The 13,814-nt window shown below is 41.9% G+C and overlaps 1 protein-coding gene across 3 annotated transcripts in view; it reads left to right on the top strand.

Annotated features, from left to right (window-relative positions):
* The window catches only part of ANKH (ANKH inorganic pyrophosphate transport regulator), a 166,979-nt gene that overhangs the window by 94,709 nt on the left and 58,456 nt on the right, over nucleotides 1-13,814 (top strand). For all 3 annotated transcript variants that reach the window (NM_054027.6, XM_017009644.3, XM_011514067.2), the window contains exon 2: nucleotides 7,879-8,095. In NM_054027.6, the coding sequence (NP_473368.1) occupies nucleotides 7,879-8,095 (217 nt within the window). The remainder of the gene's footprint in view (nucleotides 1-7,878; nucleotides 8,096-13,814) is intronic.

Raw genomic sequence — 13,814 nt, 5'->3', positions numbered from 1 at the left:
CTTCAGGTGATCCACCTGCCTCGGCCTCCTAAAGTGCTGGGATTACAGGCGTGAGCCACTGCACCCGACCCCAGATATGTTTTTAAGTCAGCCATTCCACATCGCTAAGTGCCCATTGTGTAGAGAAGACTGATCTGAAATGCCTTGTGCCATGCACCTGGGGCCAGACCCAGGCTGTGATTAAAGGGCGGCTTCATATTCACAGTTGTTGGAGTGCTGTTAAATCTGGCTCTAATCTAAAGTGTCTTTACTTTGAAAACCCCATGAATGTTTAGAGACTCGCCTTTAAACAGTGAACCTCTGCCCTGGTGAATGTCTTGGCCGTCTGCCTCGAGGCCTAATTCATGCTGGAGACATCCTAGACACTTTCTTTGCTGAATTTCATGACCATAGCTATTCCTCTTTACCAGACACAGCACCTTCTTCCTGGTCTTGGCTAGAGATGCAGCAGTATTTGGGACTGACATTACCTGAAGAGCACTTCCTATCTAAGTAACTGAACTACAGCACTGTCACAACGCTGGCATGACATAGAAGGCTCGCCACATCCTTCATGTGTTTAGATTTACTCCTAGTGTGCTGTGGGGCCAAATTGTGGACTCTTTTTTCCTATCTCTGTTCTTTCTAGATGATCTTGTTCAGTCCCCTAGCTTTAAATTCTATCTGTAGGCCAATGACCTCCAAATGTATATCCATAGCCCAGACCGACCCTCCAGACTCCAGACTCACAGAGCTGACTCTCTCATACAACTTCTCTATTTGGAATCCTAATGGGCATCTCAAATCCAACATGAGGCTGCCAATGGCGCTCTTGCTTTTTCCTCTCAAACCTTCCCTCTCTCATTTCCTCAACCCAGAAAATTGCTGCAGCACTTGATCAGTGACTCAAGCCAGAAAGCTCAGCAGTCATCATCAGGTTCTCCCTCTTTCTCATGCCCAGGAGGATGCGGGGGGCGGCCCCCTGCCCACACTCTGCTCCCTGGGAAGAAACGTGGGAAGCATGAGCCAGGCGTTGGGACCCAAGCCAAGTGTAGTCCCTGCCACACCCATTTGCTTTCCTTCCCACAAGCTCTCCAGTCAGGCCACTCTCCCTCTCCACTACTCACCCTCGGCCAAGCCGCACCTTGTCTGGCCTGGGTTACCACAGGGCCCTTGGCCTCTGTGGCTCGCATCCCTCTCCAGCCCACTTCTATCACAAAGGCCAGTGGCAGCCCCTGTCCTGCCTCTGCCCAGACCTTTAATGGCTTCCCACTGCTCTTGCAGCAAAACACATGTTCTTCACTGCCACCTAGAATCATCTCAGCATTGCCTGCTTGTCCAAACCCACCTTCTACACCTCTCTATTTCTCTTACTGGCCTCCCTTCTGTTCCTTAAATATACTAAGCCCTCCTGCAGGCCTGTACCTGCCTCCAGCTCTTTATGCACCTGGCTCACTCTTGGTCTTTGGGTCCCAGCTCAAACGTCACCTCTTTAGAGGGGCTGCCTTGTCTACCTAAATAAGCTCCTGCAAAAAATGTCCAGCCATTGGCACATAGTAGGCCCCCTTATCCATGGGTTCACGTCTGCAGGTTCAGCTACCTGCAGTCAATCACAGTCTGAAAATTGTGCAGTATTTTGAGAGAGAGACCACATTGACATAACTTTTATTACAGTATATTGTTATAATTGTCCTATTTTATTGTTATTGTTGTTACTCTTACTGTGCCTAATTTATAAATTAGACTTTATCATGCTTTGGGAGGCAGAGGCAGAAGGATCACTTGAGCCCGGGAGTTCAGCCAAGACCAGCCTGGGCCACACAGCAAGACCCCATCTCTACAAAAAAATTAATAAAAGTAAAAAATTAACCAAATGTGATGGTGCACACCTGTAGTCCCAGCCACTCAGGAGGCTGAGGCAGGAGGATCACTTGAGCTCAGGAGGTTGAGGCTGCAGGGTGAGCTGTGATTTTGCCACAGTTCTACAGCTTGGGTGACAGAGGAAGACCCCATCTCAAAAAAAGAAAAAAAAGGGGACTTATGTGTGTGTATGTATAGGAAAAAACATAGTATATATAGAGTTGGGTACTATCCGAGGTTTCAGGCATCCACTGGGGGTCTTGAATCATACTTTCTGTGAATAAGGGGCACCTATGTATTTTTTTTTTGTCTTCAGTACATATCACAGTAAATGTTTATTCTATTTGTATACGTTTTACTTCATTCTTCCAAATATTTATTGATCATCTATCTTGAGATGCCCTACCACCCCCCATGTTGTAGGTCTGGGGATGTAGCAGTGAAACAAAGGTCTCTGCTTCCTGGAGCTTACATTCAGGTAGGGCAGTCAGGCAAGAAAATAAATAACAAGTAAAGATGTGATACTATGTTAGGAAGTGAACATGCAATGAAGAAAAACAGGGTGAGCAAACAGAGACAGATAAAGCAAACAGTAGGTGACTGAAGGACGTATAGTAACTTAATGATTAGCCAGGCGTTGTGGTGGGTGCCTGTAATCCTAGCTACTCGGGAGGCTGAGGCAGGAGAATTGCTTGAGCCTGGGAGGCGGAGGTTGCAGTGAGCCGAGATCATGCCACTGCACTCCAGACTGGGCGACAGAGCGCGACTGTGTCTTGAGGAAAAAAATAATAATAATAATGAATGGGAAAAAAATCACAAATAAATGGGCAACAGATGGTTTATTCAATAAGTGATTTTGAAGTAATGCACTAGTTGGAGACAATTAGTTTTAATCCATAACTCACTTCATAAGTTTCAGGAAGATTAAAAAGTGTGCAAGTGAAGCCATAAATTAGAACAAATTTATCCTATCTATGGCGGGGTAAGAATGGCAAATCCAAAAGCATAGAAACAAACTCCATAAAATGATTGACAGACTGCATGATAACTGAATGTTTCTGGTATCAAAAGAAAACATGGAACTAAGCAGTGAACACACTGGGGGAAACGTTTGCTCCAGATGGGGATAACAAAGTGCTAGTAATATGAATGTAGCTCATGTCCTCAATTCTGCAGCTTTTTTCATACTTTTGAATGTTTCTTGAAATTGGGATGATTTTCAAATAATGTGTATATTTAATGTGGTCATTAAAAACATGAAATCAATGGCATTTCTTACAAGCAATAATATCTTGCAGGTAAAATGTGATTTTAAGAAGTGTTTCTTTAAAAATTAGTTCATGTAATTAGTATGGACACTTAAGTTCGTGGTAGAAAATAGCCAATTCATTCGTTCATTCAACAAATAATGGAGTGTTTACGATGTCGCCTTGGCAACAAGGGGGTAGGTGAACAGCAGTAAACAAAAGCGGCAAAAATCCTTGCTTTCAAGCGCCTGTCAGCCAGCCACTGCTTCGTGCCCTGTGCACTACCTACCTTGCTTCTCAAATCAGTTGGGTTATTTTAGGGAGAATAAGTATTTTAGCCAAGGCCACTCAGCGCTTAAGTGATAGAAGCAGATTCCAACTCAAGTCTGCATGGCTTTAAACCCTGTGTTCTTTCCTCAAATTACCATAATTGTTGGGCTAAATGAAACTTTCTCACTTTGTCTCACTGACAGAGCTATCATTACCTGGGCCCTCTCTCTTCCCACCTGCCTCAGCACTGGCTTGAGGACTCAAGTCCGGGAACTGTTGGTGGAAATAGAAGGCATTTCAGTGGATGCCTCAGCCCAGGCTGGTGTGTTTTTAGCAAAAAAAAAAAAAAAAAAAAAAAAAGAATGCTTTGCCAAGAAGACACATAAAATGTCTAGTCCTCCATTATTTAGGTGCCCTATGAGATGCTTTTAAATTTTTGCTAAATAATAGATACCATCCAAGATTAACACATTCGAGCAATAAGCACAAGTAAACAATTGACAATCCTAGATTTTGGGAAGGATGGGAAAGAGAAGGAACAAACCACATGCTATTGTTGATGTCTGAGAAATAGATGATTAGAAGCTGTCCTAAATGGAGTTCTCTAGAAACAAAACCTGTGTGGGAGGAAGCAGGATAGGTGGTGGGGAAAAGTGCATAGAGGATGTGGTCCCCACTGGAGACTGGCTTCACCCTGATCCCAGGGAGAACTCTGGAGCATGAATTGTACCACAGTGGTCCCACTTGGAGGCAGGGACACTGATCTTACACACCCCAGTGTATAAAATCAGCCAGTGGCTTCGTGCTGACTGGAACTATGGTGGATGCATCAGATGAGTTTCACCGATGCATAATGGCTGGGAGTAGGTCTCCCTGGCAAGAAGACAGCTGTGAGCCATTAGTGGCCAATTCCCAACATCCGGGGATGGGTCCACTGCCAGGTAAAGGATAGGGGATCTGGGTGAGACACCAGTAGTGTCCCCTACAGAAGGCCAAAGGGAATTAATTGGGTAAATTGTCAAGTGGTGAGTTTCGCACATAGATAGGAGGAGGCCTTAGGCTAGAGATGTTTGTTGAGCACAGGCACTTGTTATAAAGGAGCTTTTTGATTTTTATTTTGTTTTAGGGTGTTAATGTATTCCATCAGGGAAAATTTGTTTCTAAGAAAGGCATCATGGCAGGTGTGCTCTCAGAGGCTAAGAAGGTTCTTATGGAAGTTTTCACCGTTATTAGTGGAAAAAAGGAAAACAATTAGAGATAAAATTGGAAACAATTATCAGAAGCTAGCTTATATAATACCGAGTCAGAAAAATGATAATGAGTTCCTACGGCTAGCATACATTTTTATTCTAGATTTTTCTAAAAATTATATTTCACATTGATATTTTCCTGTAAATACATTTCTTCCTAACAGTGCTTTGCAGAGAATGTCAACTCTTAAGTTTTCATTCTGCCAGCCAGCTGTGTCTCCTGGTAAAGGAATGAAACAAAGGCACAGAACGTGAAGCCCTCTGGTTTTGCCGAGTAGCTCTGCCTGTGCTTCTGCCAGAGTCTGTGACACTGGATTACATGTAGGGACCACAGCCTAGATCAGCCCTTGAAACCAAGGAATAACTTGAAGTGTAACATGAAATACCTCCTTTCATAGATTCTGAGGCACACTCCTTCCACCTCCATATTTTAGTAACTCTGAAATCTGGATACATCTTACAATCAATGACATCCAATTATAATTGGGAACGGTTTTTTGTTTTGTTTTGTTTTGGTTTTTTTTTTTTTTTTTTTTTTTTTTCTTTTTTTGAGACACAGTCTCACTCTGTTGCCCAGACTGGAGTGCAGTGACATGATCTCAGCTCATCGCAACCTCCACCTCCCGGGTTCAAGTGACTCTCAGCCTCCCGAGTAGCTGGGATTATAGGTGCACACCATCATGTCCAGCTAATTTTTGTATTTTTAGTAGAGACGGGGTTTCACCATGTTGGCCAGGCTTGTCTTGAACTCCTGTCCTCAAGGGATCTGCCCATCTCAGCCTCCACAAGTGCTGGGATTACAGAAGTGAGCCACCGCACCCAGCTGGAACACTTTCTTTCTTAGTGGTATAACTAATAATGTACCTTACTGTCGTATCAGACCCATATTGACTTCAATAGGGATGGCACCATGTTCAAGAGGCCAAAGAAGCGACCCAGAGCCAGTGAATGAGACCTAAACCCTGTTTACTGAGGGGACTTACATACAGGGAAGTCCAGCGGTGGCAGGCCGGACAGGAGAGCTGCTACCATTTGTAAAAAGCATGCAGTTTATGTAGATCAGCTGTGTCAGCATTCTTGGAGTATGTTTAAGTTGTTATTCTTATCAGGTGCATCTACCATGCAGGGTCATTCTCAGGGTATGCTGAAGTTATTGCTATCAGATGTGTCTGCCATACACTTACAGTCTATAGTATCAGATTCAGTGAAACACAATGGTGGATTGAGTTTACTTTGTTTTGTCATAATGTAGTATGATTCTTATATATGTTTGAAGATTAGTTCTTGAATCTTTTGTTGTATTCAGTCTTTCCTCTTTCAAGCACCCGTTGGCTCCTTTGGTATTGTTGACATTAGCTCTACCCAGTATAGCAAGGCAGCTCTCAGACTGTGGCTATAACCATATATTTGTAGGGAAAATTATCAACAGCTATCTTGATTAATAGAAATAGGAAATAGACAGGAAAAGTGCATTTCTTTCATTTCTTCTTTCAGTTTACATAGCAGAGACTGAATATGAATTCTATGAATGTGATTGTGTCTCTATTGGATGAGTGACAAATGGCAGGGCCAAGACTTTAGCATATCTTTTTTCTTAAAAATATGTTGTGGATATATGTCATTCTGCATTTGTCAGAATCCACAGAATGTACAATATACCAAGAGTAAGCCCTAATGTAAACTACATTACACTAGTCACCCCTATCCACAGTTTTACTATCCATGGTTACAGTTACCCATGGTTGACCAAGGTTCAGAAATATTAAATGGAAAGTTCCAGAAATAAACAATTCATAAGTTTTAAATTGCATGCCATTCCGAGTAGTGTAATGAAATCTCTCACCATCTTGCTTCATCTCTTCCTCATCACAAGGAGTACAGTAAGATATTTTGAGAGAAAGACCACATTGATAAAACTTTTATTATAATATATTGTTAATAATTATTCTGTTTGATTATTATTGTTGTTAATCTCTTACTGTGCCTAATTTATAAATTAAACTTTCTCATAGGTATGTATATATAGGAAAAAACATAGTATATATAGGAAAAAACATAGGTACTTTCCATGGTTTCAGGCATTCACTGGGGGTCTTAGAATGTATCCCCTAAGGATAAGGGGGGACTACTGTCTGGTCTTTGAGTAATAATGATGTGTCCGTGTAGATTCATTGATTGTAAGGCATGTACCACTCTGGCGTGGGATGTTGATAGCAGGGGAGGCTCCGTGTTTGTGGGGGGCAAAGGATATATGGGAATGCTCTGTACTTTCTGCTCAATTTTACTGTGAACCTAAAACTGCCTTAAAAACAGTCTATTTTCTAAAAATATATAACTATACAGAAAGCTGACTCTTCTGCTTAGTTTCCTGTTCCTAATGACAGATGCAATGTTCTAGAGGCATTTTAGTCAGAAAGCTCTCTCTACCTGGACATCCATTCCCACTGGTCTGCTGTTACTGATTTGTCTTCGGGGTGGGAAATTTAGTTTGGAAGTACCATCCCACCAAGGCCTGCAGTGCCTAAGAGCGTCTCTCTTGGAGGATGGTTAAAGTAGTCAGGGTATTTTACAACCGCATCTTCCTGCACAACCATTATCCAAAAACATTTATTTTTTAGTCTAAAGGTGTTCTTTTCATATTTGTCTGTGTAGAGCTCAGGAATGTATTTCAGGTTAAAATATAGTAGGAATCAGGTAAACAACATGCATGAATGAAGAATATAATAAATTCTTTCAGTACCTTTTTTCATAGCATAGAGCTCTGCTATGAAGAATACATAACACATACACAGTATTTAAGATTACATGTGCACACATGAACACACACACACACACACACCACCCCTTCTTTAAAGAAAAAAGAACCCATCCCCTTGATATAAACTGTTAGACTCGTTTTCAGAATGTCTCTTGCCATTATGTCAATTCAGCCTGCAAACAAAATTTAACATTTTTGTTTTTTTAAAAAAATCAACTTTTAACCAAAACTTCTTAGAATTATTTTTCAATATTAGCATAAAATATTTGTTGGTGTTTTGCTATTATTTTAACTGCAGTGGTCAGGTATCTCCTTCACAAAAAGAAACTCAAACTGAAGCTGATGTAGATGAAAATGAAAACCAATCACCTTTATCCAATTACATGAGATGCACCCTATAAGCTACTTAGTGTTTCTATAGAAACGTGATCTGCTGAATTTCATCTTAGAGGTATGATTCCCCAGAGAAGAGATGACATTTCTAATGCTTGTGGGTTTTTTTCCCCCTTCCCAGGCCTTGAACCGGGGCATTGCTGCTGTCAAGGAGGATGCAGTCGAGATGCTGGCCAGCTACGGGCTGGCGTACTCCCTCATGAAGTTCTTCACGGGTCCCATGAGTGACTTCAAAAATGTGGGCCTGGTGTTTGTGAACAGCAAGAGAGACAGGACCAAAGCCGTCCTGTGTATGGTGGTGGCAGGGGCCATCGCTGCCGTCTTTCACACACTGATAGGTGAGGCCGCCGACCGCCACTGACGAATCTAGCTTTGGCAATTTCTTATTCCTTTTCATTGATTTAAATGTATTTATTGAGATAAGTGGTTTCTTCACTAATTATCAAATGTTTCTTATGAAATTTTCAGGGGATAGAAGGAAAGCGCTTGTGCTCCTAGCTTAAGACAATAATGTGTTTTTTCTGGGGAGCTGTAGTTTTGTGTCTCTGATTCCCAAAGTGAAAAGCAGTGATTTCATTAGTAGGCGATTACATCTAGGAATAACATTTGGTAAGGCCAATAAAATAGCAGGTGCTTTCGTTAGAGATATGTGTGCGTCATTGTACTGGGTCATTAAATCTTAAGAATAAAAATAGAATGACTTATTTAGAATTAATGCTTATTAGCAGTGAGAACAAATGACAGATTGTTCTATTTATTAATTTGTTCTAGGATCTTATTCTATTTTATTCAAAGACAAGACTAAATGCTCTTGTGATAGCATTCTTTCCATGAAACAACAGGAAAGCTGTATCATACATACAGTGACTGGCCTCCAGTTTAACCAAGACCCTGGAAAAGCAGCTCTCCTTCAGGGCTGGAGTTCTGCTGCTGCTTTCTTGGTGGGGATAAAGCCTTCAGGGCATGACTTCCGTCGTGGCTTTAAAACAGCTTTGCTTACCTGGCATAAAAATTGAGTGGTACCTCTACTGAAACCAGTTACATAAAACACTGTGAATGACACTTCATAAACCCATTGTGTACCTTAAAATTGTTACTGATTGTTTAAGACGCGTGACTGTCAGTGGTGAATAAAGGAACCAAAAGATTAACCCAGACCGTTTACAGTGTGTTTGCATGGCAGCTAATGCTTACTCACATAACTGCGAATCTGAAAGTAAATAAGGTAAGGCCTTTGTGGTTTTCCTTTTTAATGTGACATAAAATTTTGTGCTAAGAACATTGTGGAAGAGAGCGCATCTGCTGATGGACCAGACATTCAGCCAAAGCGTTGATATTGATCCTTTAATTTGTGCTCAGAGCTTCAGGGCATGGAGTAAAGAGGAGCTGCCTCTCATTTCCTCAGTTTATGCCCTGAAGGCTAACTGTGGACTGAGTATTTGCACATGTACTTGTATTTGAAGTAAATTTCTGCTACATTTGACCTGAGCCATTTTCAAAGAATACATGTACAGTATTTGGGAAAAAAAAAAGCCATATATTTTGTAAAATAAGGGGCTTCCTTAAATAAGCAAATGAGTTCCCTTTGTTACTAGCTCTTTTTTTACTTGGACTTATAAATAATCCAACATTCCCTATTTAGCCATGGTTGGATGAAACTTTGGGACTAAACAGCTAATTATCAGTTGTCAGTAATTCTGGAAGAGAAAAGCTAAGCATCCCGTGTTATTGCAATTGTCGGGAAGAAAATGTGGTCATTAAAATAAAAATCAATGTCATTTTAGTTTTTCAATTTTAAAATAGAATTATAAAATTTTAAATTTAAACCAAAATGGTTTTCTGTATCTCATATATATTTAATAATCATTATTAGTTTTTATACTTTTGCAATCACAGCATTTTTCCATCCACCAAACAAATGTTTTCCACAGTTGCTACGAAAGCACATATGAATTTCTTTTGAACATCTGAAAATCAGATCTTAATGATGTACCCTTTTCTAGAGTGTTGGCCTCCTTACCATTTTCTGCCTAAGTCTTTAGCTGCTCTCTTGCCTTTGCCATCTGCTACGTCGGGCATCTTTGTTCACCTTTCTGCCTCTGTTTTTAGTAATCCTGTAAGCTTTTCTATATCCAGATCCTGCCCATTTTGTTTCCCATAATCGTGGCCACAAGCTCCATGATGGGATGTTGCTCTCTCTCCACCCCCCAGCCATTCTTCCCACCACTTTCCTATGTCATTGAACGTTGCCCTTCCAATGGCAGTCTCTATGCATCACCTATATTTGACGCTTACACCCATTTTCATTTCCTAGTAATGCTGAAAACAGCTACTTACATTTCTACTTCAGCAGTCAGCTCCTGGATAACTATGTGTGTGACAGGGGAACACTGACATAGATAAAACAGAAAAGGAAATACTCCAAGTATATTTGACTCGAAAAGCCATTGTATGATTTCAAGCAGTCTTCCTGATTATATTTGCTTGGGCTGATATTGAAATGAGCATATATTCCCTACATGTACAGCTCCTGGGTGGGGCCTACAGTAAGTACAGGAAGCTTTGTATTATAAATTCAACATGCTGAATTCACAGAGTGGGAATATAAATCAGATACATCTAGGTTTAAACTAATTTCTTTCTATTCTTTTGTCCAGGCAAAAGTAGTTGAATTGCCTTCAACATTTCTTTAAGTGCTAGTTTCCCATCACCTTAATGAATTTATTTCCTTTTAGCAAGTTCTTCTAATTTTTCAAAGGCATTTATTTTCAACATGTGAGAGCATAGAGCAGGAAGAGATTCTTTCTTTTTGGGGTTGGGACAGGCCTCATGGATTGAGTCATTTCTTAACCGTCTCTGAAGGATGAATTGCATTTCAGCACTTTTCTTCAGTTTGTTTGTTTGTTTGTTTGTTTTTGAGACAGAGTCTTGCTCTGCTGCCCAGCCAGGAGTGCAGTGGTGTGATCACAACTAACCGCAACCTTGAACTCGTGGGCTCAATCAATTCTCCCACCTCAGCCTCTTGAGTAGCTGGGACTACAGATGCATGCCACCACATCTGGCTAATTTTTATATTTTTTTTTTGTAGAGATAGGGTTTTGCCATGTTGCCCAGGCTGGTCTTGAATTCCTGAGTTCAAGCGATCTGCCTACCTGAGCCTCCCAAAGTGCTGGGATTACAGGCATGAGCCACCACACCTGGCCAGCACAACACTGTCTAATTTTTCCTTATCTTTGATACAAAATGGAGTCAAGAATTTGCCCTGTGCGCTATAATGAATATTTTGCTATAGCCATCTAAAATCATCCCAACGTGATGTTCTCTATCTTAGACTTTTTTCCCCCAGTCTGGATGAACTTTGACACTTCATACTTTTCACTATTTACTAATAATTTACCAATCCCTGGAGGGTCTTCTTCACTTAGAAGGGATTTCAAATGTGGACATTGCCAGCTCTGAAAAATCAGTTGCAGATGTAGCTTCTCACTTTCACTAACGCAGTGTCCCCTCTGTGCATCAGTTAATGGGTCGCAGCAGGATGATTGAGACAGGCTCAGGTCAAAGAGCACTAAAAGCTTTTGTAGTGTCATCCCTCATTCACTGGGTTTGCCCCAATAAAGGAAAGAACCTTCTACTAGGTCCTTTTCATTAGATTTACTGTAGTTAAGGAATTCTTTTTCCTTACATTTCTTTTCTTTTTTTTTTCTTGACCCCGCTATTGAGCTAGGCATTCTCCCATCTTTGAGAACTTTGTGCTTGGTAATGGATTTCCCCAGACAAGGCTGGGTTAGATACCACTGACCACTCAGACACTTCCCTGGGAATGCTTGGTGGAGATTGTGCGGGAAAGATGGCCCCAGAGAATGTGCCCAGCAACTCTTCCCACCCAGGCAAACCTTGTGCAATGAGCCAATAGAGCAGACACTTGGAATTGTGTTGGACTGAGAGAGTTGAAGTCTAGAAGATCCACTGGACAAGAGTTACTGTCCATACTATGCACACCCATAGCCTGGCTCTAGATACCCAAATTGCACAAGCCTTGGGAGTATTTCTTGGCCCTTGTTGAACAGCTGCAAGTATCTCTTTTTTAGCTTAACCATAGCCACGACTTCTGTCATGGACCCATGTATGAGACACCATTTTTTAAAACTGCGTTGTCCTGCTAGATTAAGTTACAAAACAAAAACGAAGAGTACAGAGCCCGGGGTTTGCCATCACCACACCTTCATTTAGGCCAGTGGTTGTGCTGCATGGAGGAAAGCGTGCTGACCTTGCATTTGGTTCCATTTGGGTCCAAATTAATTTCACGTGCGTGGAAATTAGTATTGCCTAACCTCCTAATTCACGAAGATGTCGAAACCGCTGCTGTGGATTTTAACTTTCTTTACACGTTTATTCTTGACAGTAACCTGTAAGGCCCTTGCCATGTTCTGAAGCTTCCTGGGTAGTCAGCAGAATTCAGGGGAACAAAACTGCAGGTTCCTGTGCTCTTCCAGTGAGCCATTGGAATAATTTCTGGACCAGTTCTGTTTGCCAGACTTCTCTTTTCAAACTTTCCCATTATTCATGGGTTATTAACCAGCTCTATAAAGGGTGAATTAGTATAATTTGCCATAATTTAAACCAACGAGGGTGCTGGGAGCGAACAGACAGTGCCAGTATAGTCTCACAATTTATTGTCGTGTAAAAAACCACCCCGATCCTCAGTGGCTCAAAACACAAGCATTTATTTTTGTTTGCAAGACTGCAGGCTGGCTGGGCGGATCTTTGGAACTTGACTAGGCTCAGGCCTCTATGGTCAGCTGAGGGCCAGGAGGTCGCTCTGCTGACCTTGGTGGGCTCCTTGTTGGCGAACATCTGGCCAGCCTAGATGGCCTCTGTTGGGACAGCTGAACTCTCCTCCACATAGTCTCTCATCCTCCACTAGCATTGCCTGGGCTTTTTTAGATGGCTGTGGTGACACTCCAAGTGAAGGGACAGAAGCACACATGACGGCTCCCTGAGGCCAGGAATCAGAACGGGCCCACCATCACTCCCACCGCACACTACTGACCAAAACAAATCACTGGCCAGCCCAGATTCAAGGCGAGGGGAATAGACCCTAACTTTTGGTGTGAGGAACTGCCAAATCATGTGACAAAGAGTGGGGATATAAGTAGGAGGGAAGACTCAAGGGATATTTTTGCTACCAGTATATCCCAGTCACTTTTTTTATTTTTATTTATTTATTTATTTTCCGTTCTGTCACCCAGGCTAGAGTTCATTAGTGTGATCTTGGGTTATTGCAACCTCCGCCTCCCAGGCTCAGGCATTCTCCTGCCTCAGCCTCCCAAGTAGCTGGGATTACAGGCACCTGCCACCTCACCCAGCTAATTTTTGTATTTTTAGTAGAGACGAGGTTTCACTATGTTGGCCAGGCTGGTCTCGAACTCCAGACCTCAGGTGATCCACCCGCCTCGGCCTCCCAAAGTGCTGGGATTACAGGCATAAGCCACCGTGCCCAGCCTCCCAGTCACTTCTTTTGGGGGTTATGGATTTCAACATTTATTCAATCAGCACACTGGGCTAGATCCTGAGAATTCAAACATGAATAAGAAATGTTCTCTAGAAAGAAGCAGATCTCCTGCAATAAATTCTTCTGAACCCCACTCCACCAAGTCTTGATGCCAGTGAGATAGAATTCTTGTACTTGCGTTAAAATTTCACAATTACTTGACTTACATTGTGCATGGGTTTATGGTATCTCTTCAAGACCTAGGTGATATTTATGCCCCCTATCCCCCACATTGGACAAGTGTTGCCTAGTATAGATTATAGATGGGTGATATTAAATGTCTGTGTCCCAGCCCATATGCAGGAAACTGTCCTCTTCACAGCTGTGTTAGAGTGTGCAGTACCTGATGCATACAAGTCACTCAATGTGTATTTATCGAAGTGATTTAAATATGGCCTATCAGCCATGTAAACACACATACCTTGGAAATGATACCCTAGAAGCACAGGGGTGAAATTACCTGCTCCCGTGAAAAGCCTCGCAAGCTGGTCACAGTGGGTCAA

Source organism: Homo sapiens, chromosome 5 (assembly GCF_000001405.40).
Source record: "Homo sapiens chromosome 5, GRCh38.p14 Primary Assembly".
Classification (NCBI taxonomy): Eukaryota; Metazoa; Chordata; class Mammalia; order Primates; family Hominidae; genus Homo; species Homo sapiens.
The sequence above is the reverse complement of the archived record's forward strand: the minus strand, read 5'-3'. Positions and strand labels throughout refer to the sequence as shown.